This window comes from Homo sapiens, chromosome 7 (genome assembly GCF_000001405.40).
Source record: "Homo sapiens chromosome 7, GRCh38.p14 Primary Assembly".
In the NCBI taxonomy this organism is placed as follows: Eukaryota; Metazoa; Chordata; class Mammalia; order Primates; family Hominidae; genus Homo; species Homo sapiens.
In genome coordinates, this window is record NC_000007.14 from 47,961,574 (window position 1) to 47,987,989 (window position 26,416).

The 26,416-nt window shown below is 42.7% G+C and overlaps 2 protein-coding genes and 1 long non-coding RNA gene across 8 annotated transcripts in view, besides 4 other annotated features; 1 reads left to right on the top strand and 2 right to left on the bottom strand.

Annotated features, from left to right (window-relative positions):
* HUS1 (HUS1 checkpoint clamp component) lies at window positions 1,715-18,042 on the bottom strand. 3 transcript variants are annotated; one of them, NR_037917.2, is made up of 9 exons: window positions 17,837-18,042; window positions 17,116-17,243; window positions 16,844-17,020; window positions 15,157-15,264; window positions 14,040-14,114; window positions 7,646-7,745; window positions 6,233-6,352; window positions 3,727-3,865; window positions 1,715-3,059 (listed from the first exon to the last, which is right to left on the bottom strand). NR_037917.2 is itself a non-coding variant. In NM_004507.4 (8 exons), the coding sequence occupies exons 1-8, from the start codon at window positions 17,944-17,946 to the stop codon at window positions 3,783-3,785; spliced, it is 843 nt and encodes a 280-aa protein (NP_004498.1). In that variant the 5' UTR covers window positions 17,947-18,042; the 3' UTR covers window positions 1,715-3,782. The 3 variants fall into 3 exon arrangements, 2 of the variants coding, with proteins under 2 accessions (NP_004498.1, NP_001350612.1); NM_004507.4 differs by having other exon boundaries at window positions 1,715-3,865; window positions 17,895-18,042; NM_001363683.2 differs by having other exon boundaries at window positions 1,715-3,865.
* Window positions 7,319-7,613: a silencer, noted in NCBI's record as "tiled region #5513; HepG2 Repressive non-DNase unmatched - State 12:CtcfO". NCBI's record gives its function as "represses a minimal TATA promoter and a strong SV40 promoter by Sharpr-MPRA in HepG2 cells {active_cell/tissue: HepG2}" and the evidence as "EXISTENCE:reporter gene assay evidence [ECO:0000049][PMID:27701403]".
* Window positions 17,563-17,612: a silencer, noted in NCBI's record as "silent region_18169". NCBI's record gives its function as "represses an Ori minimal core promoter by ATAC-STARR-seq in GM12878 lymphoblastoid cells {active_cell/tissue: GM12878}" and the evidence as "EXISTENCE:reporter gene assay evidence [ECO:0000049][PMID:35858748]".
* Window positions 17,693-17,752: a silencer, noted in NCBI's record as "silent region_18170". NCBI's record gives its function as "represses an Ori minimal core promoter by ATAC-STARR-seq in GM12878 lymphoblastoid cells {active_cell/tissue: GM12878}" and the evidence as "EXISTENCE:reporter gene assay evidence [ECO:0000049][PMID:35858748]".
* Window positions 17,823-18,112: an enhancer, noted in NCBI's record as "active region_25985". NCBI's record gives its function as "activates an Ori minimal core promoter by ATAC-STARR-seq in GM12878 lymphoblastoid cells {active_cell/tissue: GM12878}" and the evidence as "EXISTENCE:reporter gene assay evidence [ECO:0000049][PMID:35858748]".
* On the top strand, window positions 20,869-25,872 carry LOC105375270 (uncharacterized). The gene is made up of 3 exons (XR_927251.3): window positions 20,869-21,562; window positions 22,645-22,732; window positions 24,778-25,872. It is a non-coding gene; the product is annotated as an uncharacterized LOC105375270 (long non-coding RNA).
* The window catches only part of SUN3 (Sad1 and UNC84 domain containing 3), a 48,755-nt gene continuing 47,913 nt past the window's right edge, over window positions 25,575-26,416 (bottom strand). For all 4 annotated transcript variants that reach the window (XM_017011930.2, NM_152782.4, NM_001030019.2 and 1 more), the window contains one exon: window positions 25,575-25,876. In XM_017011930.2, coding sequence (XP_016867419.1) covers window positions 25,757-25,876 — 120 coding nt within the window. In that variant the 3' untranslated portion in view covers window positions 25,575-25,756. The remainder of the gene's footprint in view (window positions 25,877-26,416) is intronic.

Sequence of the window (26,416 nt, forward strand, 5' to 3'; positions counted from 1 at the left end):
AGCCTGGGCAATGTGGCAAAACCTCATCTCTACAAAAAATACAAAAATTAGTTGGGCGCAGTGGCACACACCTGTGGTTCCAGCTACTTGAGAGGGTGAGGCAGGAGGATTGGTTGAGCCCAGGAGTTTGAGACTGCAGTGAGCCATAATTGTACTACTACACTCCAGCCTGGGGCACAGAGCCAGACCCTGTCTCCCCCAAGAAAAAAAAAAGAGCTAAAAACCAGAATAGGCAAATATATAGAGACAGATATTAGACAAGTAATTGCCTGGGGCCAGGAGGTATATGGTGGGGGAGAGCAGAATAAGGGAGAAGAGAAAAATGAAAAATGATTACTTATGGTTAAGAAGTTTCTTTACTGGGTGATGAAAATGTTCTAAAATTGATAGTGGTGATGGTTGTACAACTCTGAGAACATACTAAAAACCACTAGACAGTCTATTTTAAATGGTTGAATTGTGTGATATGTGAATTATATCTCAATACAGCTGTTTTAAAAAGTTCTGAATTGTTATTTCTTCAAAACGATGGATGCTTTGCTAAATTGGCAACATACACTAAGAACATGAATGTCATTAAATACCTTTGCCTAGTGGCTGAACCAGAATCCCAACCCCAGGACTACTGTTGAGGCCACATTCTAGGTCCCCAAGAGTGGGCTCCTTCACACCAGGCACAGTACCTCACTATAAACTCAGCCTACAGACCTGATGGCCAAGCAGTTCCCTGCTGGGCCAAGGAAGGGCTGGAGGAGGATGGCAGGGCCACTTGGATGCTAGCCAGGAGCAACTGGAATGGGAAATTCTTAAGTGTCTCTGATATGGCACAGAATGACCTCAAAACTCAGGTGATAAAATTCTTGGATAAAAAGAATTGCTGGGTGTGGTGGCTCACAGCTGTGATCCAAGCACTTTGGGAGGCTGAGGCGGGCAGACTGCTTAAGCCCAGGAGTCCTGGGCAACGTACAAAACCTCATATCTACAAAACAATATAAAAATTAGCTGGGCGCAGTGGCACACACCTGTAGTTCCAGCTACTTGGGAGGGTGAGGCAGGAGGACTGCTTAAGCCCAGGAGTTTGAGACTGCAGTGAGCCATGACTGTACCACTGCACTCCAGCATGGGGGACAAAGCCAGACCCTGTCTCCCTCAGGAAAAAAAAAAAAAAAGCTAAAAGCCAGAATAGGCAAATATATAGAGATAGATATTAGACAAGTAATTGCCTGGGGCTAGGAGGTATATGCTGCGGGAGAGCAGAACAAGGGAGAAGAGAAAAGATGTGCGTACCAAAAGGATGTGAGGCCCTGAGCCCAGGGCAGGTAAGGCATGGGACTGCCTTATTTTACCCTGGCATTTAGGACAGTACTCCACAAACCACAAATTCTTATAAATCACAGCCAGTGAAAGTATGCTCAAAATCCAGAAAGCTCTTTTAAAAAAGGTCTCAACACTTTGAGATGTTAGTCTTGAAATAAGTTAATGTTTCAAATTATATTCATTCCTTTAAATGGATTAAATTGCTATTTCTTGACCCGGCAAAATTTTACCTTGGTAGATCATTCAATAAAGCAGCACTGTGCCCTTCTCTAAGTCTGTGGTGTTGTACCGGCTCCTGCCATCATTTTTCACAGCTCTTTGAGGAGCAAAGAGGTGGAGGACTTGGTAGACACTAAGTAGCAAGTTGTGATAAGAATCAGAAACAGACACCAACTTCTTGAATCTCAACTAAGGTTTCTTTAGCCACATTCTACACAAAGATAAAATCTTAAGCCATTCATTAAAATCTTCAAAATTATATGTATTTGATAATAAACATCACATAGAGCAAATGGTTAAGTCACTAACACATTCTCTTTAACAGCAATTTCAGTTTTATAAAACTACTTTCAGATATTGTTTCATTTTGTATCATGATTTTTAAGTTTTCTCACTGCAGCTGGAATTAATTTCGTTACAATGAGAGGAGGAAGGGTTTAAAAATTAAAACGGTGTCTTCTAATTTTAAAATGTTAATTTAACAAAATATTCCATCCTATTTCAACATTATTAAACATAGGCCAGGCGTGGTGGCTCACGCCTGTAATCCCAGCACTTTGAGAGGCCAAGGTGGGTGATCACGAGGTCGAGATCGAGACCATCCTGGCCAACACAGTGAAACTCCGTCTCTACTAAAAATACAAAAATTAGCCGGGCGTGGTGGCATGCGCCTGTAGTCCCAGCTACTCGGGAGGCTGAGGCAGGAGAATCGCTTGAACTTGGGAAGTGGAGGCTGCAGTAAGCCAAGATCGCGCCACTAGCACTCCAGACTGGCGACAGAGTGAGACTCCGTCTCAAAAAAAAAAACCAAAAAACAAACAAAAAACCATTACTAAACATCAAAAGAATCATTCAAATACACTGGTTTTATCAAAAAACATGAAAAAGCCAAAATATAAATTTTCATGTTAGCTAGTCTTCCAATTTCATTTTATCCTAAGCAACTTAGGTCTCAGTTTTGTAATGTGACATTAATATAATGTTTATGGATGGGTGTGATGGCTGATGCCTGTAATCCCAGCACTTTGGGAGGCCCAGGTGGGCGGGTGGCTTGAGCCCAGGAGTTCAAGACCAGCCTGGACAACACAGTGAGACCCTGTCTCTATGAAAAATTGAAAATTAGCTGGGTGTGGTGGTGCACACCAGTAGTCCCAGCTAGTCAGGAAGCTGAGGTGGGAGGATGCCTTGAGCCAAGGAGGTCAATGCGGTGAGCCATGATTGTGGCACTGCACTCCAGTCTGGGTGACAGAATGAGACCGTCTCAAACAAAACAAAACAAGAAAACAAAAGATAATGTTTATCATGTCCACCTCCACAGGACAATGAGATGTAATTATAATAGGAAATATGATGGGTATGTTTCAGGGAGAATGAGCACATCTACCAGTACTGAATCAGCTTTGATGTTCAGAAACATCAAAGAAATATGGTCTCATCACTTAACACAGATGATACCTTAGAAGTTTCGTTTGTTTCTACTCTAAATAGAAGGGTCTTCTTTCCAGAACGACAGATCCGATACACTGTGGAAGAAAGAAATATAAGGAATTACAACCTAAACCCAAAACTGGCCCCAGGAAGAAACTAGTTGGAATGGCAGAAGGAGCTCCCAGCTAAGAGCTGTGTTGGCTGGGCCAGCTCTCTAGGCATCAAGAGGGGAGTGGACTCAGGTGGGCTTGAGTCCTCAGCAAGAGAGAGACTCCAAATGCTGCAGCTGTGACACCCCACAGTGCTCTGAGTAACCAAGGCAGTGGCGGCGGGGTGACAGAGGCTGTTCTTTCTGTCACTGGGCTCCAAGGGGCAGGAGCAGCGGGGTGAACACACTGAAATGCAAGACTGACTGTGCGCTACAGGCCGTGCTGAGCTAGAGCCTCTGCCTGGAGGGAAAGTACCAAGCTCCCAGGCAACAGCTTTACGAATTCTGGCTACTACACCAAGTCTAAATACATGACGATTTTCACAACATCAATGAGAAATTGTTCTTTAAAGTCTGAATAAATAAATTCTAGCTTTTCTTTTCAGTGTCTTAAAAACAAAGCAAAACAGACATGAGCAACATGAAGTGATATGTTTATCCAACTGTGTGTTGTTGAATCAACTTTTAGTTAAAATGTTAGAGAGGGACAAATAAGTACAGTGTGTCGATGTGCGGTGCTGTGAGGGCACAGACCAGTGATCAGAACACAACACCTGCGGCCTCTCCCATCCTGACAAAGTCTCTGCATGCCAACTCCAGCGACAGGGTGCTAGGACAGCGCAGGGATGAAATACTGAAGGGACACGTCTTCATGAAGCAGATCAAAATGCACCATCTTGTTATTCACAATATCTGGGAAGAGAAAAGCCATGATTTTAGAGACCTAGTGCAGCACACACATTTTGATCTCTACTTTTTCAGAACAGCCTTCCCAGCCTGCACCTCCTGTTTTAGGCATCTGTCTTCCCTGAGGCAGCTGCAGAGACCACAGTCTCTCACTCTCACTGCCACAGCTGAGGCTACATCACGGCCCCAGCACTGGCGGCTCCCTGTGCGAGGAGAGGAAAAGTGAAGCGGCCCAAGCCCTTGGCAAAACACCCAGCAGGCTGGCTTCCTGGCAAACCACATTCACCCACATGAGCATCCTTCTGCAGCGAAGAGCAGCTCCTCACCAGTGAGTGGAGGAACTGTGCTGAGAAGAGCCAAGAGCCAGGATCCCCCAACACCTGGGGCAGGCTGTGTCACACACTGCTACATGGGATGGATCCCTGCATCTCAACGGTCCTGCCAATCCCGTGAGGGCCATGGGTGATGGCTAAAATCCAAGGCATCAGGCATGCAACCAAGCAGGGAAGTAAAGAGCACATGAGGGTGGGCAGGAGCACACAGTGTGACAACCACCGAGAGCTCGGGGAGCTGCAGCACAGCAGCCGAGGAAAGCTCTCCAGCAGATATGAGTGAGTGACAAGAAACCATGTGTGAGCAGGCTGCAGAGAGGCCAATCCCAGGAGATGGGAGGTTGGGGAAAGGACCAGAAAGGACAAGCAGGAGACAAACATTCTTTAGGAGAGGTGGTGCAAGGGCACAGGAGAGGCAGAGACTGAGGGTGGCAGGACCTAGCTAGAGGAGGGGACAATTGAGCCGACACCTGAAGGAGACTAACAGAGACAGAAAAGGGGCTTTGGGAAGTTAAGAAGGTATGAGAAGTTCAACCCACGGTGTTTTAAAAAAAATTTTTGCTACATCACAATTTGCTGGTCTTCCTTTCTCTGCTACACGTGGAGACACCAAAGTGAATGTTGGGAAGACACTTGGCTTAGTCAACCACCTTTGATAAGAACTCTTCCATGTTCCTCAACAGCCTTGGATTCAGAAAGTCCCCAAAATACCAAGTTCAAAGACTGATGTTGTGCAGCGCAGGGGCCCCCCACACCCTGTGTTTCCACACTCTGCAGACAGGAGGGGTATTTCACTCTCTCACCATTCACACTGTGCTTGTCAGGACCAAGGGTCTGGGCATTGTACAGGAGCTTGGGAGAAGTGCAGCCATGAGGCCCAGCCCAAACTATGAATAAGGAGTCCCTTTACATGACCTTCAGGCGATCTCCATGCACATCGAGGTTCTCAGAAGCACCTTTAAGGACCCTGCACTGCCACACAGCTCCCACTATGCTCAGCCCTAGAAATATGACATCGTCCATGTCAAAGTTCCTTAAAATGCAGCACAGGTACCTCACCCCAAAACTCCCCATGATCTGGCCTAGTCTAGCTTCTCCATCTCTACCCTCAGAGCTGCTTCTCTGGCGATATCTCCTTCTGTGCCCATCACTCCAACTGTGTGACACCTTCCCCAATTCCCAAACACCCATTGCCCCTCCCATGGTCTCTTCTGATTCTCTTCATGTCTCTCATTCAAAAGGGCTGGTCCTTGACATTGCCACCTAGAATCTTCTGTTCCTTCTCTACAGCACACTGCAGATCTGAAGGGGATGAGGTGCAGTGTTGGCTCAACCTCCCTCTCAGCTCAGCCTGGGAGCTATGCTACAAAACGTGGAACTTCAAATCCAGGATGCAGTCGCTTTTAGGTTGCTGTGATTTCAGTAGTAAGGTGACAAAAATGCCTTGAAAAGCTCTTGGCAGGTAATGCCTTTCTCATGTGTGGTCAGTAGATGAAGAGTGCTGGAGCAGGTGTGTGACCTCACAAGATGGGGCCCAGCCAGAATCAAGAGGCAACTGTTAACAACCAGCAGCCAAGGGACAGATATGGGGCAGCGAATGCAGGCCAGCATAGCCACAGAAAGGAAACAAGACATCACAAGGGAAAACTTAAATCCAAGCCAAACCGTGTCTGGCACTCTGAGCAGGTCAAATTAGATGACCATGGAGAAGGTGGGATGATCTGCACCCATTCTCCCGATGGCATCTCCAGGTGTGCTGGCCAACTGAGGCAGCACACAACCCACCTACCAACCAGTGTGGCTGCAGGTTTCAGGCCCTAACAGAGTGCCCAGGGGTTGTTTCTCTGCTGCCACCTTAGGTACTTCTGAATCTAGGAAAATTTAAAAAACCCCACTGTTCTAGGAAGTTAAAGTCCACATAATTGAGCTTTTTTTTTTTTTTTTGGATTTATGAGACTATATGCAATCTGTTAGACTAGAGTTGACTGCAGTATTTAGAATATGAAAGAATATGAAAAACAAAACAGAGAAGCACACTCACTGCATAAGGCCTTTGTGGGATTTACTTGTTGTCCAGCAAGAAACTGTAGGAGCTTCCTAATATCTATGTGCACTTCAGCCATGTGTTCCACGTTTCTGTCCTCATGGGTGCTTTCAGAGGCTAAAATGATAGGAATGCATTTAAATACAACATCTTCCCACGTAACAGGAAACCTGGAGATACTCAATGCATTTTACTTAAATAAATGATTCACTTTAGCACTGATTTTAGCATCCTGAAGAAATATTGCAACTTGTAAATGTTGTCATTCATTAAGCATTAGGTCCTAACTATTTAAAATACTATGATAATTTCCAAGGCATCTTTATTTACAGGGGACTTGAAATATAACTCAATCTCCCTCTTCAGGTCAAAGAAAATTTTATTTATTTGTACTTACTATGTATTTTAAGAGTGAAAATATATACATTAACTAATACAAGGCCTGTCATTCTGGAGTGGAATTAAAAAAAAAAAGAAAACATCCTTTCTACCTCTGAGAAAGTACCAAAGATAAGTCCCACCTTATGTTTATTAAAAGAAACAAAATGAGTGACATCAGAATGAATCGCTTTACACAATATTATCAAAGGCATAACCGTATGGATTTCACTCTGCTGGAGCAGGATGCTCTTAACTAGAAAGTAAAAATTCCTTCCAACTCTATGCTAAAATCTGTGTTTATATTCAAGCAGACTCGTAGTAACTTAAATGTGACTAGGGCCGATTTTATTGGTTCTGGCACACTTATGTATCATAAAATGATTTTCTCATCATCCCCAGGTGTTTCTCCCCTGGTCCTTTACCTGCTTTCCTGCTCAGGCAGCCCCTGCTACTGTGCAGCTGCCACTTTCCAGCCATGATTCTAACCCCCTCTTGGCTTATAACTCACCAAACTGTCCAACCGTCCCCTCTCTCCCCACTTGCTGAACTGACTCTATCGTCCCTTATTACCTTGTATGAGATAAGAAATGTGATCAAGTGAAACAGTTTTGCATCTGCTACACTAATTTCATACATATGGAAGTAACTGAAGGAGGAGAATATAAGAACAAATGTATCTACCTTTCTGAATCCATGCCAGGTGAGAAATAGAAATCTTTAGGAGTAGGACAGGAATTGAATAGCTGGAAGGGATCTTGGAGGTTATGTAACTTGATCCGAATTCTACAGAGGATGGAGACCCTGCACAGATCTGTCAGCTACTTGGTGGCACAGCTTCTCCCCCTGGTGGCTAACTGCCCCACTACACCACAGGGATACATAGTCCAGTCTCAATTCCTTTGTTCTTCACCCAAGCATGAAACAAAGTCAACTGAATTTCAACCTTTTTACATGAAGAGACCTCAACAGGTAGGTTATCTGAAACAATTAACTTATCCAAAGCAAAATATAACCCACTAGAAAACTTACCTAATGGAGGATTTCCAAGATCTTTAAAATGAGTTGTAACACATACTAATTCAGTTTCTATTTTCAAATTCAATTCTCCATCTAGGTTTGCTTCAATAACCTGCAAATTGAGTATTTTACATAGTCTTAGAAAAGGAAGCCAAAAGGAAAAAAACTCCATGGGCAACAGCTTTCACACAACCAGATGACAAAGTACCCTACAAAACCTCAAAACACCTCAGAGCACACTGAGACCCCCGTGCTATCAGGGAAAGTGAGAAGATAAGGCCCAAGAGCCAAGAACTCAGAAATCTCCCAAAAATCTCAAAGGGGAAGTCCCCCTGCCTGCCTCCCGGAATGAAGAACTCAGTGAAGATGTGAAAACAGGTGGAACTCCGAGAGGACTTGCCAGGAGACTACAGCAGCACAAGGGCAGGGCTCTAGGGAGGGCTGGGTGGAGCTGATGAGAACTCCCTCACAGCAGGAGAGAGTCCTGCACTGAGAAGGAACCACGGGAAGTAAGAGCCTCAACTAAGCAGAATGGGCACCTTGGGCAAAAAAAAGGGAATGAAACTTTAAATGAAGGAAAAAGAGGGACAGATCTCAGAAAGTCCTGGGGATGTGGTGAGGATGCATGTTTTAATATTTTGTGGTTACAAAGAATAGAGAATTCTAGAGTCATTAAATTAGAAAACTATTTTGGTCCACTTTCACTCCTACAATGAAACTTCCTCCTAAAAGAACCAGAAAAACCAGCCGGGCGCGGTGGCTCTCGCTTGTAATCCCAGCACTTTGGGAGGCCGAGGCGGGCGGATCACGAGGTCAGGAGATCAAGACCATCCTGGCTAACACGGTGAAACCCCGTCTCTACTAAAAATACAAAAAATTAGCCGGGCGTGGTGGCGGGCGCCTGTAGTCCCAGCTACTCGGGAGGCTGAGGCAGGAGAATGGCATGAACCCGGGAGGCGGAACTTGCAGTGAGCCGAGATTGCGCCACTGCACTCCAGCCTGGGTGAAAGAGCGAGACTCTGTCTCAAAAAAAAAAAAAAAAAAAAAAGAGAAATGAACAATAATAGACGCTATGACACAACAACATAAATCAGAATTAGGGAAGCTCAGACATGAGATGACCAGAGAGCACGCACATAAAACACAGCTGACAGCACAGGAAGTAATTAGAAACATAAGGAAAAATTTCAGAAACAGAAACTAGTTTAGAAGGAAGACTAGAGCAAATAGGCACCACAGAGAGAATAGTAAGAGAAACTGGGATGGAAAGGAGAAAGATAAAATTTACCAAACAGAAACAAAGAGTTAAAAGGATCTGACAGAAAATAATAAAGACAGTGGAGAAGATCCAAGCCCTCTGAGTCCCAGAAGAAAAACAAAGCACTGGAAAAGAAATGCTATCAACTACAGCTCAAAACTTTCCTGAAGTGAATGAAGAGTTCGGCCCACATATTGAAAGGACACACCACACACCTGGGAAAACTGACCCCGGATGGTCAAGACAATTGGATTGAAAGAAAAATGGGAAAAATCCCCAGGGTATTTAGTCCCCACTTTCAAATGAATAAATCCAAGCTGTGAAACAAAATCAGAATGGAGTCATTCTTTTTGATAGCAATAATATACACCAGCAGACAATGCAGTGCAGTGAGCCAAACTGACATTATAAACACATGATAACCAATGAAATCCTATTCCTGTGAGTCCTTCTTGAGTGATATGCTAGAGAATAGGCTTTTAATAACCAAAAAAATCATTGGAGAAGTTACAGCATAAACAGTGTGAGCCTTATTTTGACCTTTAGAACCAAAACTAAACAACAGGAATGAAGAGGACAGAATAACGTGTAGTAATAAAATTTTATGCTCTGATGATGTAGACATAATATAACCATTACAAAACAGGAAGGGGGAAAATGAGAAGAATGTGGAAATCAGTGTCTTATTTTTATAAAATATAAATCAACCATTTGTCATAAACACACATTTAATATGACTATAAGGCCTTCAGAATCTCATGAGAACATAGCCATTTATTTAGAAAATAAACTCACATGTTGGAAAATGAAATGTCCAAATCCAGAAGGGTCTGGGGCTGCTGTTGGGTTACCAGGACTGAGGATGGCTGAGCCAAACTCCACACGCCCAGGCTACCAGACTTCTGCCATCCCCTCATATACCATCGGGCACCCCTCTTCTACTCCTGCTCTTGCTGCCCGGGGACTGTCTCCACAGGTCACAAGGGACTCCTTTCCTTTGAAGCTCCTCTACCCACCCCAACAACCAATCAGTTCTTTTAATTGGATGGAACCTAGAAGTGAAGCATATGCCACAGTATGGTTTGAGGTTTTGCTAACCTATCCTGGTCCACTCCCGCACCTACAATGAAATTTCCTCCTAAAAGAACCAGTACCTGTTATTTCTCTTTTTGATGTTGATATCTGCCCAATGTTAAAGCCTAGGAGGTCTCTGGAAAGCCAGTGTGTAGTCTGCTGGATAGCATTTTGCCATCTAGTACTAGAAAAGTGCCACCTAGCAACTGGTCTTATTTAGGGCCATTCCATCCTCACAGTGTCACAGAAAGAAAACAGAGAAGGCACTCTGTCTGCACGGCTCTGTATCAGTGTTCATGTTTACTGAATACAATTTAGTGTTCCTTGTTCTTATTCCTTAAAATTGGTGAACTCTGAATAGTTTTCATTCCAGAAACAAAGTTTTTCTAATTTGGGTGAGCTCTTATTTCTGAGCTTTTCACATTAATAGAAAAATAGTGCCCCAAACTTACCTGTTGTATAATCTACTTTGAATGAGAAATACTCATTTTCAACCCTTTTCTTTCATTAATCCAAAAAAATATATTGTTATATTTCCTAACCCGTTTTCCTACAATCTGGAACAATAGTTGACTGAAATAAAATATATAAAACAATCTTTGTGAATATGCTAGACTGCTTAGTGGGGCTAAGGCTAACACATGACCTTAGCTCATTTGTTCCAAACAACCACACACCCAAGATCTGTAAATTCCCATTGTTTTGAAAAGCAATGGTTTTAGATATAAATAAATAAATACTTATTTAAAAATGCAACTTGCAATGGGCCTAGATGCACTTCAGGCTTAAATGTTCTCTTGTGTTTTCTTCAAATTCCTAAGAATCTCAGTAACAGAACATTAGATTCCAACTCCCTCCTAACCATTAACACCTGGTGCCTAGCACATGGTGGCCTTAAGTCAATACTTACTGAAGAAACTAACAAACAACTAATTCTCTGAACACTGGTCACTCATGTCTATTTTAAGATTCAGTTATTTGGGATATTATACACAACAACACACTTGATTTCTTAAGTATCAGGGTAAGATCTTTCAATGATTTCCTTAAAATAGTCAACTATTGTTTATAGAATGCTGACTATACTGGGCACCTAGTAAAAATTATCTCTAAATTTTTAAAAACTGACGAAGCCCCTGTCATAGCTGCACTGTTATCCCCATTTGGGGTAGTATCCAGCACTAGGGTACTCACTGCACAGCGCAGCCTGGAGCTGAACCCAGGTATGTGGCTCCAATGACTCCCCTCTTCCATATCATGACTCCTAAACATAGACTCTGGTTTCTATCATTAGGTGACCCTGCAGAGCCGTTTCTCAGATAACATTTGAAGTACAATATAGTATGGCAATGATGTGGTTTGTTTTGGCTCAGCAACCCCACCCAAATCTCATCTCGAATTGTAATCCCCAAGTGCTGAGAAGGGGCCTGGTGGTAGGTGACTGGATCATGGGGGCAGCTTTTCCCATGCTGTTCTCTTGATAGTGAGGGAGTTCTCATGAGATCTGATGGTTTTAAAAATGGCAGTTTTTCCTGTGTTCTTCTCTCTCCAGCTGCCATGTTAAGACGTGCCTTGCTTCCCCTTTGCCTTCTGTCATGACTGTAAGTTTCCTGAGGCCTCCTCAGCTATACAGGACTGTGAGTCAATTAAACCTCTTTTGTTTATAAATTACCTGGTCTCAGGTAATATCTTTTTAGCAGCGTGAAAACGGAGTAATACAGGCACACATCACAAAGTACTGCTACATGATGTGGTCTGAAGACAGGCAGCATCGACATCTCCCAGGAGCTGGTCAGAAACAGAGCCTCAGGCTCCAGCTCAGACCTCCCAAATCAGAACCTGCACTTTAACCAGATTCCAGGGGATTCACACGCATGGTAGAACTTAGAAGCAATGTCTTAGAACATGATGTCAATTCCCTCCAGTTCTTGCTTCTTTTTCTGCTCCTGCATGAGTCACATACAACCCACCCCATCAGTCACACCTCGCATTTAATGAAAGGAAGTAACTGGGCATCTCTAATGGGAAGGTGGGCATTTTTAGTGTGTTAAGTCTACCCATTTTCCTTAATTCTACTGCCTGTAATATTCAGATACAGAATTCTGGATACCCAGGAAGACCTCATTATGTACTTTGCTACAGTAACTTGATAACTTTCCATTTAGTAATTCCAGATCGTAGTAGCCTCTCCACAATATTTCTATGTTTTTTTAAACTCCAAAAAAGAGAAAACAAAACACCTCTGATGATTCTAAGCTACCCTTCTACCTCTCTACCTTGCTGACTCATTTTCATTGAACAGAAAGAACAAACAAATGCCATCCTTCAATTAACAGCCCTGTCTTTTCTCTCCTGGGCCTCTCTGAATTTCTCTGGAAGTCCCCAGGGTATCCCCAGATGAAGCCAGCCTGACAACTGGATCAGCATCACTGCAGTCACAGGTGACACCAACGTCAGCACAGTGCACACTGCTTCATGGAAAACAGATTTTATAGATTAAGTTATGAAGGAAAAGCTTTGAGTTACCCAGGTCCAATGACAGCATTGCTCTTAGTGTGCAGAACTCTAGAAAAAAACAGTCAAATGTACATTTTCTAGGCTTCAAAATACTTTTGTGATTTCAAAGACCTCTTGAAGCTAAATTTTGTTCCAGATCCATGCAACACTTATTGCTGCCTACTGAGTGGCAATCCCACACTGGGCAGCTGGGACACAAAGATGATTAAGATGGGGTTTCCTTTATCAAGAAGCTGGTGGTTCACGAGACCTTCAGAGATCTTAGCAGGTGATTTACCATGTACACTGGACAGCTCAGCTCCATGGAGGAGCTTCCAGAGGGGTGGTGGGGAAAGGTCTGTGATGAAGCATGAGAATGGCTAAGTGCCTTCCAGGGAGATGGAGAGAAGAAGCCATGTGTCAAATGGCAAAGAAACTGAACAAAAAAGAAGAGGCATTGTGGGGGAATACCAGAACCCAGCCTCGTTCTGCAGGGAGGGTGTGGCAATACAACAGAGATGTGGCTATAAAGGTGGCCTGGTACACTGTCAAGATCAAAAGTTTATGCTTCATCAGGTGGACAGTGGTTTTTAGAAGATTCAGGGACATAACCAAGGGTGTTTTTTGGAGCAGGATAGGAGGGAGCAGGGGGAGGAGGGAGGGGCAGTGAGTGAAGGAAGAATTCACAATAACCCCAGGTATGAATGAGGATAACCTACACATTTCCCACCACTGTCACACACTGTAACATTTCGAGCCATGTGGCCATAGGAGACTTCCACAAAATAAACAGAAAATAAACAGAAATATAAAAGTGCCCCCTAGCTTGGTGTGAGGTGTGCTTGGAATAAAGGCTGCTATGGTGTGGCATATCTTTGTCCCTGGCTCACTGAAAGACACTTGGCACGCAGACAGGAAACTCCAAACTCACTGTCAGTCATATCAGTGACTCACAGAAAAATACGGGCACGTTAGCAGGTAAAAGATACAATGTTCCAGCCGGGCGCGGTGGCTCACGCCTGTAATCCCAGTACTTTGGGAGGCCTAGGCGGGCGGACCACGAGGTCAGGAGATCGAGACCATCCTGGCTAACACGGTGAAACCCCGTCTGTACTAAAAATACGAAACAAAAAATTAGCCAGGCATGGTGGCAGGCGCCTGTAGTCCCAGCTACTCGGGAGGCTGAGGTGGGAGAATGGCATGAACCCGGGAGGCGGAGCTTACAGTGAGGTGAGATGGCGCCATTGCACTCCAGCCTGGGCGACAGAGTGAGACTCTGTCTCAAAAAAAAAAAAAAAAAAGAAAGATACAATGTTTCATACAAAATATAAGAGGAAAAACAGGCAGATTAAAGGCAAATATAAAAGCTTTCCTCAAAGAATTAGAGTTGAAAAGTATTGGAATAGGTTTCTAAATCCAACTAGCAATCTGCAGGTTCTCAGCACCAGGCCAGGTCCTCATAAGTGGGAACTCGGTTAGGAGGTGCCCACCTGCATGGACTGCTGCAGGGTGAGCTGGAGAACCCACGCCGTCCCACCAAATACTTCAGAGTTCTTTTCTAAAGAAGTTGTGACTTACAAGGTGATTGCTGATGTTTTTCATTTTTTCCACAACACTCTTCATAGTCTTCAAGACTGGTAAATAAATACTAACCTACAAAACCAATGAGAAAAAAGCACAAGTATTAAAAATATTAATATACTCTAGTAATGACAAGGGCCCCATAACTAACTCTAGAACACATGCATGCTCAAAAACTATGGGATACTATTTTACAATTTTCTGAATAAAGTTCTTTTAAAAATATAAAAAGAAAACCAATTCTATTTCACTAACTCAAGGATGCTCAAGCAAAATTAAAGAATGGAATGCCTGCCTCTGGTTACCTCAGCAACCATGTCCCTGTGGGCATTCTTTTGGCTCAAGAAGGAATAGGGTACTTCAGCTGAGATGCCCCTATATTGGTCCAGGGGGAATATAACTCAGGCAATCAGCAGGAGGCCCTCCTCTAAGGGACATTTACACCTATGATTCAAGGGCCTTTTCCATGCTCTGTACAAAAACATGGCAGACAGTCACTGCATCACATCTGAGACTGTTACCAAGAGTGCTCTATAAAACACAGGCTTTTTCAAAATCAGTGTAGGTGCCATCTAGTAAAAGTCAAGTAATTATTTTACCCAGCATATTTCTGTACTTTCTTCTTAAACAAATTGTGAGCAAGAGGAAATGGGCCCTTTGGCATCATCTTTACTTTCAGGAGCTCTAGGGTTAACCATCGGCATGACCGTTACCCCATGTTAGCCCTAAGCCATGAAATTCTTCTCTTCTTGGCTTTCGTGCACATCCAGATATCGCTCCTGACCGGCTGAGGAAAAGATCAAGTCCTGTGAAACCCAAATTGGTGTCTAAGGCCAAGAATACTAATAAATACTAATTGTCCTCCAAAAGTATCATTTGTGTTTTAAGTGATGTTACTGAGCGAGACATTTTCTACATATAGGATGGCATGACATTTCTATCATATGCAACATTTTTAAGATGCTTTATGTAAATAACAAAAGGCAAATAATCTAATGTTTTCGTTAAGTATCCTTTAAAAATAAAATATACTGCAAGACTACAACTAAAACTAGAGAATTCAAGTCATGCCATTTAATGTGGGGTGTACAGCAGGACTGCAGGCATCACCTACATCAGGATCTGGGACCACCGGTTCTTGTAAGTCCTTCCACAATTTCCTAGGAATCACCTTTATGGGGATGTCATGGGTCACAATGCGGCTACTGCTTGACATAGATAACTGCCAAGAAAAGAATTTAAAAATATTTTTATGTTGTTAATATTAAGCAACAACAAAACAAACCCGAAGACCCGGGACAAAAAAGTTGAAATACCAAATCTAAGTGGAATGCTGTCAGTTTATTCACTCAAAAGCCATTCGACCAATATTGATGGTGCCAATATTTATGGAACAGACTCTGGGTACTTCCAGGAACTGGGAAGTGTGGTGATAAGACAAAAAGGTCCTTAGTGTTCCAGTGGAACAAACAGATCAATAAAAATGCAAACAAATGAAACTGTATGAAATGCTCATTATAGCCGTGAGAAAGCACTCCACAGAGACCAGGGTGAGTGTGGGGGAGTTTCCTTAGACTGAGGAGGTGACATTTCAGATACCACCAAAAGCAGGAGAAGCAGCAGCCATGGGAAGACAAGAACAAGGGGACAGGGTTTCAGGCTGGGGAAACAGCACATGTAAAGCCGTGAGGCAGAAAGAAGCAAGCCTGCTATGTTGACGCAACCAAGAGAAGGCCATTCTTTGGGCATAGGACACTCAGAGTGCTGCAGTTTCTAACAGTTAAAAGGCAAACTATATTTATTTCTAGGGGCTCCTATGAGACTCACAGACCAAAATATCTTGCACTTTTGGACAAAAAGTATTATACGTTACTATCTTGCTTTTCCTTAAGCAATAGAAAAAACATACCAAACTTATACTGTGACATGAAATGCCCTAATTAGCTCTGAGAACTGCCTGACTGCAAAGAGTTGAGAGTTATGAAGAAAAGCTGGGCTGGGCGCCGTGGCTCATGCCTACAATCGCAGCACTTTGGGAGGCCGAGGTAGGTGGATCACTTGACGTCAGGAGTTCGAGACCAGCCTGGCCAATATGGTGATACCCCGACTCTACTAAAAAAATACAAAAATTAGCTGGGTGTGGTGGTGGGTGCCTGTAATTCCAGCTACTCAGGAGGCTGAGGCATGAGAATCGCTTGAACCCGGGAGATGGAGGTTGCAGTGAGCCGAGATCGCGCCACTGCACTCCAGCCTGGGTGATAGAGAGACTCCGTCTCAAAAAAAAGGAAATACGAACCTCATTCTATGAGTAGGAAGAGCAACTCTGGATTGTATGTATGCGCATGAGTTTGTGTATTTGTGTGTTTGGAGGACAGCTGTGCACTAAATTCATCTGGCAGTAGCATATAAAACATACGTGTACTGAAGAACGAGGGGCCATTTAAAGGTTATTATAGCAGATGAGGCAGGGTGGGAGTGGGGAGAAAACATGTCAAAGGTGAAAATGGATAGAGAAACCATGATTTCTAGACAAGGTGACAATACCACTACAAGAAACAGAGAGGCTGGAAGTTTCACGGCTTGGAAAAAGCAGCATTCTAGCTGAATGCATATGATAACAACACAATTTTAAAATGAGGAGGAACTGACTCTAATGCAAAATATAGTTATGGACCAGATCTTTAAATTTAAATAAACCAAACAGCTTTCAACAGTATTTATTGTTAAAAAGGCTAGGCTAACTATGTCTATTCCTTCGAGGCCAAGACTTCTGTGTTAGAAACCCTGACTCTCCTACTCACCAGCTCCACGGAGACCGTGAGGCAGGGAAAGTGTTTATTAGTCAGTTTGATTTTCAAAGCCCTGGCATTCTGGGCAGTCTTCAAGGCTCGAGATAAGTTTTCCGATGTTAGCTCTAAATAAATCTCATTGTTTTCTGCAGAGACACCCTCCATTTGAAATTCGTTGAAGAAGTTCTCCTAAGGGAAAAAAAATGAGGGATGAGGGAGGGTATATGTGATCTTTCCAGTGACAATCTGCAGAGTGTGCAGGCCTCTCAGAAGCTTTTGCTCACCTGTTCCAGCTCACACCACATGCTCACTCCTCCATTAGCCAGCTTGTCACAAAGGATGAAGTTAAGCTTATCAGGGCTGATGCGGAGGGTGCAGGTTTTGGCAAGCTTGGCTATCATGTTACTGATTCCTAAAGCAGGGGTTAAAATAAGGAATTACTAAAATGCACATTATGTATCCTAGAGACCAACTTATTTTGCAGAATTTCTTGTTCATCAACTTCTCGGTGGAAAAATAACCACTTAACGTTGGTATCACACTGGAAAGTACTTTAATACCCCTGATGTCACGCAATTCTCCCAACAAACTAGGGGAGATGTACAGCACACATCATCAGTGTTCAAATAAGAAAACAGGCACCTACCAGTCATTCATTCATTCAACATGGATTTATTGACTACTAGGTACTGCAATACACAGTTAAATGCAAGGTTAGGCACTGTCAGGGTGGAGGGACGAATGGGGCCTTGAAGGTATGTCAATGCCTGATAAAGCCGTCTATGGGAGCAGTGGCCGCTTTTTTTTAAAGCCACGTGATCGGAATCAAGTTTCAGAAACGTCCCTTGAAAGCCGCCTTCATCCCCACAAGTGCCCTCCGACCCGCCCCGCGCCCTCCCGGCCCCACCCTCCCGCGGCCTACACCAGCACCCCCATCCCGGCCCCATCCTCCCGCGGCCCCTTCCGGCGCCCATCCCCGTTCTGATCCTCCTGCGCGGTCCCCACCGCGCGCTCACTGCTTCCTTCCGTTCCTCCCTCGCTCCTCTCCGGCCTCCCTGCTCACGTGTGAAGTGGTTCAGACAGGCCCCGTCCACGATCTTGGCCCGAAACTTCATGGCCGCGGATGGCGCAGCCGCGGCGGGCCTCTGTGGGTAACAGAAAAGCGTCGCGCCCTGAGTGTCCCCGCCCGGAAACACGGCAGCGCGAACAGTGGTTCCGCCCGGCTCGGGCTACGCGACTCTTACCAGGGTTATCTCCGGGCCACGCCCCGGAGGAGGTGGGGCTAGGGGGTCACGCCCTAGAGGAGGTGGGGTCACGGGTCAAGGATCACAGGTCACGCCCCGGGGGAGGTGGGGGTCCCAGTCTCCGGGTATGCCTCCGCGCTGCCGGGTAATGGTGGGATCTACTTTTAGTGAGGCGGAGGCTTCAAGCCCCAGATTCGGGGAGGTTGTTCTGAGAATTCACGTTTTGAAAGAATTTTGTGACACCTATTTCAAGTGTTATTTTAAAATATCCAAATAAAATTAATCGTTTATAAAGGTTAAACAATATTATCTTAAATATACCTAAGGTAGAGCAGCTTTAAACCCTCCAGCCTCAGATGACGGTACTGGTACTTTGGTATTGAAGCATCTTGGTGGATTAAGGTTCTGAAAATTGTTTCAAATGACTTCTAAAAAAATTGAACATATTACTGGCTAGTTGGTAAAGTCGGGAAGCTTAAAGAACACTGACGTTAAGTGATAATTCTGCAGTTTGCCTCAAGACGAACTTTATTACATCCGATAAAATTCTTATTAGCATAAATAATGTCATTAGGATTTTTTTTAAAGGAAAAATTTTAAAGGGGGAAATGAAGCAACAATTGTATCTAATTTGGTTTTTCAAAGACTAAAGATTATCTGTGTTAACAATTGTTATTTTTAATGTCCTTTGCAAATAGACTAGAACCTTGTCTTTAACTTGACACATAGAATCAAGATAATGATAATGCAGATGATGATGATGATGATTTTGAGACGGAGTCTGGCTCTGTCGCCCTGGCTGGAGTGCAATGGCGTGATCTTGGCCCACTGCAACCTCCACCTCCCGGGTTCGAGGGATTCTCCTGCCTCAGCTTCCCAAGTAGTTGGGATTACAGGCACAAGCTACCATGCCCGGCTAATTTTTGTATTATTAGTAGAGACGGGGTTTCGCCATGTTGGCCAGGCTGGTCTCGAACTCCTGACCTCAGGTGATCTGCCCACCTCGGCCTCCCAAAGTGCTGGGATTATAGGCGTGAGCCACCGCGCCAGGCCCAGATAATTTTCAAAGACACATGCACACATATGTTTATTGTGGCACTATTCACAATAGCAAAGACTTGGAACCATCCCAAATGTCCATCAATAATAGACTGGATAAGGAAAATGTGGCACATATACACCATGGAATACTATGCAGCCATAAAAAAGGATGAGTTCATGTCCTTTGCAGGGACATGGATGAAGCTGGAAACCATCATTCTCAGCAAAATATCACAAGGACAGAAAACCAAACACCGCATGTTCTCACTCATAAGTGGGAGTTGAACAATGAGAACACATGGACACAGGGAGGGGAATATCACACACTGGGGCCTGTTGGGGGGTGGAGGCCTGGGGGAGGGATAGCGTTAGGAGAAATACCTAATGTAAATGATGAGTTGATGGGTGCAGCACACCAACATGGCACATGCATACCTATGTAACAAATCTGCACGTTGTGCACATGTACCCTAGAACTTAAAGTGTAATAATAATAAAAAGGTGCAAAATACAAAAATTGCAGTTTTTGCCTATTTTAAGACTATAACATGAAGCAAAATTCTAATCTTCATTGTCATATGCGAGTGTTTGCCAAACCAAACTTAATAGATCACTTTCAAAGTTATGCCAACAGGCAGGGCAGGATGGCTCTCTCCTGTAATCCCAGCATTCTGGGAGGCCGAGGCGGGTGGATCATCTGAGGTCAGGAGTCTGAGATCAGCCTGGCCAACATGATGAAACCCCGTCTCTACTAAAAATACAAAAATTAGCCCGGCGTGATAGCTTGTGCCTGTAATCCCAACTACTCAGGAATCTGAGGCAGGAGAATCACTTGAACCCAGGAGGCGGAGATTTCAGTGAACAGAGGTCTGCCACTGCACTCCAGCCTGGGCGACAGAGCGAGACTCCGTCTCAAAAAAAAAAAAAAATGTTGGCATAACTCTTTTTTTTTTTGGAGACGGAATCTCGCTCTGTCGCCCAGGCTGGAGTGCAGTGGCGCAATCTCGGCTCACTGCAAGTTCCGCCTCCCGGGTTCACGCCATTCTCCTACCTCAGCCTCCCGAGTAGCTGGGACTACAGGCGCCCGCCACCACGCCCGGCTAATTTTTTGTATTTTTAGTAGAGACGGGGTTTCACCGTGTTAGCCAGGATGGTCTCGATCTCCTGACCTCGTGATCCGCCCGCCTCGGCCTCCCAAAGTGCTGGGATTACAAGCGTGAGCCACTGAGCCCGGCCATGCCAACATTTTTTATTTGCCCCATATGATCTGCAGGAAAAAGCCTGTTTTTTAATTTCCTCATGAATGAGTTTTGAAGAGTTGAGCATCACATTAAATAAAGTGGCTGCTAGTAGATAAATGAATATAATTAAAGAATGTATCTAAATAAACTTTGTAAACAATGTTTTGTAACATCTTGATCTTTAGTGTAAATTGCTTAATTTTATGTCATAAAAACTGATAAAGCAATTTTTTAAACTTCCTAAGAAGATGTGATATGATACATTCTGCATGGACAAAAGCCCAAATAATATAGGAATTTGACTCAAGAAATAGAAAATAAAGCTGCAATTATCTTTTCTTGGAAGAAGAAAGGAATCTTTTATGTGCTCTTGCAATTTTCTTAAACAGGTTTAGCAAATTAATTCATTAACTTCAGAATTGACAATTAAGTATATTGACACTACTTCTCTACTTTCCAAATGATTTTGAGGCAAGGAATGTGATCTCTAGAGATTTCTAGAAGCCCCATGTACCACTGAGTTTTCTAATGCAATGTATATTCATGTTCTCATCTAGCTACAGTAAATTGCCTTCTGACTTAAGAACTGCCAAATGTCAGGGATTAGTAATTCAGTCACACAATGATTTGGGAAACAGTGTTCACGCTGTTCATTAAGTTTGTTTAGTGGGGAGGTAAATGCCTTAATCTTGTCTTAGAAACTGAAATAAACAGTGGTGCAAATAAAATGTCATTCAGGATGCATATAGTTGGAAGTAAGGGAAATAACCTCTCTACAGCTGCAGATGGTAAACTCTGTCTAGGTAAGTATTTGGCCAGTCTCTTTCAGGTACTTACTCATCTTCTCTAGTCCCTGGGGGAAGAGACAGCAATTTGCAGCCCTGTTGTTAGCAGTTAATGTTGGAAAAATTACCCAAGGGAAACAACGTGACTAGCTCACATGTTACGCATCAAATTTGAAAGGCAGTATTTGTCTTCTTTTTTTAACATGAGAAAACTGTAAAATGAAGGAAAGCATACCCTAGAGGTGGCATGAGTGAATGTCTTTTGACAACTGTACTTGTTCTAAGAGATGGGTTTTTGCTTAAGCAGCTCTTCAAAGACTCTTCTCCTCTTTTAGGTGTCAAAAAAATTCTTCAATAAATTCCATAGATACTTTTCTAAATGAAGATTTGTGGAGCACATGAGAAGTGTCAGGCATGGTGGTGAGTGATGGGGATTAAGGAAGGGGACCAGCCCCTACTCAAGAGGAGGGTGATCAACATTTATTGGATGCCTTTAAAGCACTATTTAAATATTATTGATCAGTAGGGTGAGATAGATAGCTCTCATTTTATAGCACTCTGCACTGATATCATCACTTAGATAATATAAACACACGTAAAATAAGTATGATTATTCCCATTTTATTTTATTTTATTTTATTTTAGATGGAGTCTTGCTCTTGTTGCCCAAGCTGGAGTGCAATGGTGCAATCTCGACTCACTGCAACCTCTGAGTCCTGGGTTCAAGTGATTCTTTTGCCTCAGTCTACCGAGTAGCTGGGATTACAGGCACCTGCCACTACACCCAGACCATTTTTTGTATTTTTAGTAGAGATGGGGTTTCACTGTGTTGGCCAGGCTGGTCTCAAACTCATGACATCAGGTGAGCTGCCTGCTTCAGCCTCCCAAAGTGCTGGGATTACAGGTGTGAGCCACAATGCTCGGCCTATTATTCCCATTTTAAAGATGGGGACAGATAGAATTGGCAATGTTGGCCATGGCATGCCCTACCTCACACTCTTGATGAGAATCTGCATCACTGGATTGCTGAGTGTCCAGTGACCCACATGCTCCTGCTGACTGGACCAGCTCTATTTACACTTGACCTTCAGGAAAACAATTGATAGTGTGGAAATAAATGAAGACCAACCAAATGGAACAGGCAAAGCCTATTTATTCAGAGTCAGCCATTATCACTTGCATTTCAGCAGAGACTCAAAGGCAGGCAGAGAGGTAGGAACGCTTCATAGTGGAAAAGGAAGGAGAGTATAGTGAAGTAACAGAAGAGGTTACAGAGCATGTTTATTTACCAGCTAAAGCTAAAGTGGCAAAGGAAGGAGAGGTTCATCCCTACCCTTCTGCACCCCCTTATTTCCTCCTGGGAAATATTACTGATGAATAACATTTTATATACGGCATTTTGCACATGGTAAGTTTTTTAGTCAAAGGATATATTCATCTCGATTTTTATAGATAGGCCAAGTTCCCTCCATAAATGTTATACCTATTTGCATTTCTTCCAGCAACGTGTGAGAGATCCTGTTTCCCCAAAGCCTTGGAATAAAACATTATCAAACTTTTGGATCTTTCTAATTTCATCAGTGAAACATGGTACAGTATAATTTTTGCCATTTTTCTTAAGTAAATAAGCTTGAATATCTTTCATGTGCGTCTCTAGATGATCTGTTTACTGGCCATTTTTCTATTGGGTTATTGATATTATAATTGCTTTCTTGGGACTGTGTATATATTGGAAAGATTGGTCCTTATAATGTCAGTTGTGAATATTTTTTGCATTTTAAGTTTTGTTGGCCATGCAGAGGTTCTTGATTTTTATATAGTGGAATTTTTTTTCTTTTGTGGCTTCTAAATTTTGAGTCATATTTAGGAAGACCTTCCTCTATTCAATACCATACAGGAATTATCCCAAGTTTCCTTGTTAATATTTTTATGGTTTTATTACCTACTTGTATATATTTTACCATACTGGGAGTTTGTCATATTGTAAAGTGAGAAATATGGATGGAATTTTATTTTCTTAATGACTGGATAATTGTCCCAAGCCATTTGTTTTTTTCCCCCATACTCTTTTGAGATGCTACCATTATCATACACCCAACTTCCACATACATGTAAATATATTTTTGGACTTGTCTGTTGTTGGGAACAGGCCCCCCAAAATCTGGCCATAAAGTGGCCCCAAAACTGGCCATAAACAAAACCTCTGCAGCACTGTGACATGTTCATGATGGCCATAACGCCCACGCTGGAAGGTGGTGGGCTTACCGGAATGAGGGCAAGGAACACCTGGCCCACCCAGGGCGGAAAACTGCTTAAAGGCATTCTTAAGCCACAAACAATAGCATGAGCTATCTGTGCCTTAAGGACATGCTCCTGCTGCCATTAACTAGCCCAACCTATTCCTTTAATTCAGCCCATCCCTTTGTTCCCCATAAGGAATACTTTTAGTTAACTTAAGATCTATAGAAACAATGCTAATGACTGGCTTGCTGTTAATAAATATGTGGATAAATCTCTGTTCGGGGCTCTCAGCTCTGAAGGCTGTGAGACCCGTGATTTCCCACTTCACACCTCTATATTTCTGTGTGTGTGTCTTTAATTCCTCTAGCGCCGCTGGGTTAGGGTCTCCCCGACCAAGCTGGTCTCGGCAGTCTGTTCCATTGGTCTATCTGTTTGCCAGTATCATACAGTTTTAACTATTGTTTTATACCTATGTCATAGAGCTATTTCTTTTTGTTGATTTTTTTTCAGAGATTTTTCTGGCTGTCCTTTTGCTAAGTTTATATTTCCATATGAACTTTAGAATCAATTTTATTTAAAACATACCCCCCTTTGGGTTTTTAAAAATATATACATGTCTTAATTTTTAAAAAACTTTTTAATTGAAAATATCGAACATATATAAATCTAGACAGAATAATATAATGAAGCTCCATGGACTGGCAGCATTCAACTTCAATGATCATTTCATGGCCAATCTTTTTCATGAATTTTCTTATCCATTTCTTCCTCTTATGTTATTATGGAAAAGATCCCACATATATCATTTCAACTTTAAATATTTAAATATGTAAATAAAAAGATTTATTTTAAAATCATCATTTTAGTACCATTATCATACAGACACCTATAATTTATTTTTTTCAGACAGGGTCTTGCTCTGCCGCCCAGGCAGGAGCACAGTGATCATGGCTCACTGCAGCCTCAAATTCTTGGGCTCAAGTGATCCTCCCACCTCAGCCTTCCAAGTAGCTGGAACTGCAGGTGTGCACTGCCATGCCCAGCTAATTTTTTTATTTTTAATAGAGACAGGGTCTCACTATGTCACCCAGGCTCATCTTGAACTCCTGGAGTCAAGCAGTCCTTCTACCTTGGCCTCCCAAAGTGCTGAGATTATAGGTGTGAGCCACCGTGCCCAGCCCAAATTATTTTTTTTAACGATAATTCTTTAATATCTCATAACTGTCCCATAAAGTCCATATTTTTCTGCTTTTTAACTGAGATCAAGTTACATTTATAAATTAACTTAGAACTGACATCTTGACAGTTGAGTTTTCCCATTGAAGGATACAGTATATGGTACATCTATTTTTCCATTTATTTTACTGAAGTCTTCTTTTTTTTTTTTTCTCCAGACAGGGTCGCCCAGGCTGGAGCGTAGTGGCTCGAACACAGCTCACTTGAAGCTTCAACCTCCCGGGCTCAAGTGATCCTCCCACCTGTCTCCTGAGTAGCTGCAACTACAGGCATGTGCCAAGACGTCTGGCTAATTTTTAAATTTTTTGTAGGGATGGGGTCTTGCTGTGTTGCCCAGACTGGTCTCAAACTCCTGGGCTCAAGTGATCCCCCAACCCTTGGCCTCCCAAAGTGCTAAGATTACAGTTGTGAGCCACTGTGCCTGGCCTTAAGTCTTCTTTTAGTCATTCACTGCTGTTTGGGATTTTTTTCACATAGATATTTTACTTTCTTCTTTTATTTGATGTTTATTATCTAAAGATAATAATGGATTTTGTAAGTTATACCCTGTTGTTTTTATGAATGATATTGATTTATATATGGGAATTTTGCATCCACGAACTTACAACAGTTTTTCCTTGTTTCTAATTCTTTTAAAATAGACTCTATTGCATTTCAAGGAATTCATCAAATTATCTGCAAATGGTCATGGTCAGAACTCCTCACTAATTTTTACCTCCAATTTAAAAATTACTGGTTTCCTATCTAATTGCGCTGACCAGTGCCTCCAGATCAGCACTAAATGATAGTAGTGATAGTGGACATCCATGCCTGGTGTAAATAAATGAGTCCGTGAAGGCAAAGATGCTATTATGGGAAAGACTGATGATGAGACTATCTTCTTCTAAATACAAAATGAGTTTTCAATGCTCTAACAACATGAAGCATCCTTAAAGACTAAACTATGGCAAGGATATTTAATTTACTTCCATATTTTTTTATTAGTAAAATGCATTTACTTTTTACAGGCAAGTATGAACCACTTTGAGGTTTTCTTCCCACTCCCAATTCTCAATTCCTATGGGTGCGGTATCATCTAAGAGAATAAGCATTCTTGAATATTCTGGACATGTGGCATGGCCTTCTGTACCAACTCTTCTAGATGTGCTTGCCTGGTGTGCCATGGACCCTGAATCGATATAAACAAGTATACTTCGGGTGTCCCCAGTTGCTAAAGATATTAAGTTTCACACATAATAAATATTCAGAAACTGCATGCTGAAAATAAAGAAAAGAAAATCAATGCCTTATAACGAAATTCATCTCAAAGAATCCCAATGAATACTGATATAATTTTAAATTATATACTTTTTTTTTTTCGAGATAGGATCTGGCTCTGTCACACAGGCTGGAATGCAGTGGCATGATCATGGCTCATTGCCACCTCTACCTCCTGGGCTCAAGTCATCCTCCCAGCTCAGACCCCCGAGTAGCTGGAACTACAGGCACACGCCACCGCACCTAGCTAATTTATTAATTTTTTGTAGAGACAGGGTTTTGCCATGTTGCCCAGGCTGGTCTTGAACTCCAGGGCTCAAATGATTTACCTGCCTAGGCCTCCAAAAGTGATGGGATTACAGGTGTAAGCCACCACGCCTGGCCTATATACTTTTTCTTTTCTAACATAACTATTTTCAAATATCAGTCTAATGAATGAGAAAATAAGCTACTGGAATAAAGAGCTTATGAAAAGATAAGTAGAGGGAGAGGAGGATAATATGGCGGCCAAGTGACCTCTCTATTCCGCTGTTTCCCCCC

Coding starts and splice junctions, on each gene's coding strand:
- HUS1 (NM_004507.4), bottom strand. CDS start 17,946: ATGAAGTTTCGGGCCAAGATCGTGGACGGGGCCTGTCTGAACCACTTC. Junction 17,244..17,894: donor CTGTCTGAACCACTTCACAC/GTGAGCAGGGAG, acceptor CCCCTGCTTTAG/GAATCAGTAACATGATAGCC. Junction 3,866..6,232: donor TCCCACAAAGGCCTTATGCA/GTGAGTGTGCTT, acceptor TTCTCTTCCCAG/ATATTGTGAATAACAAGATG.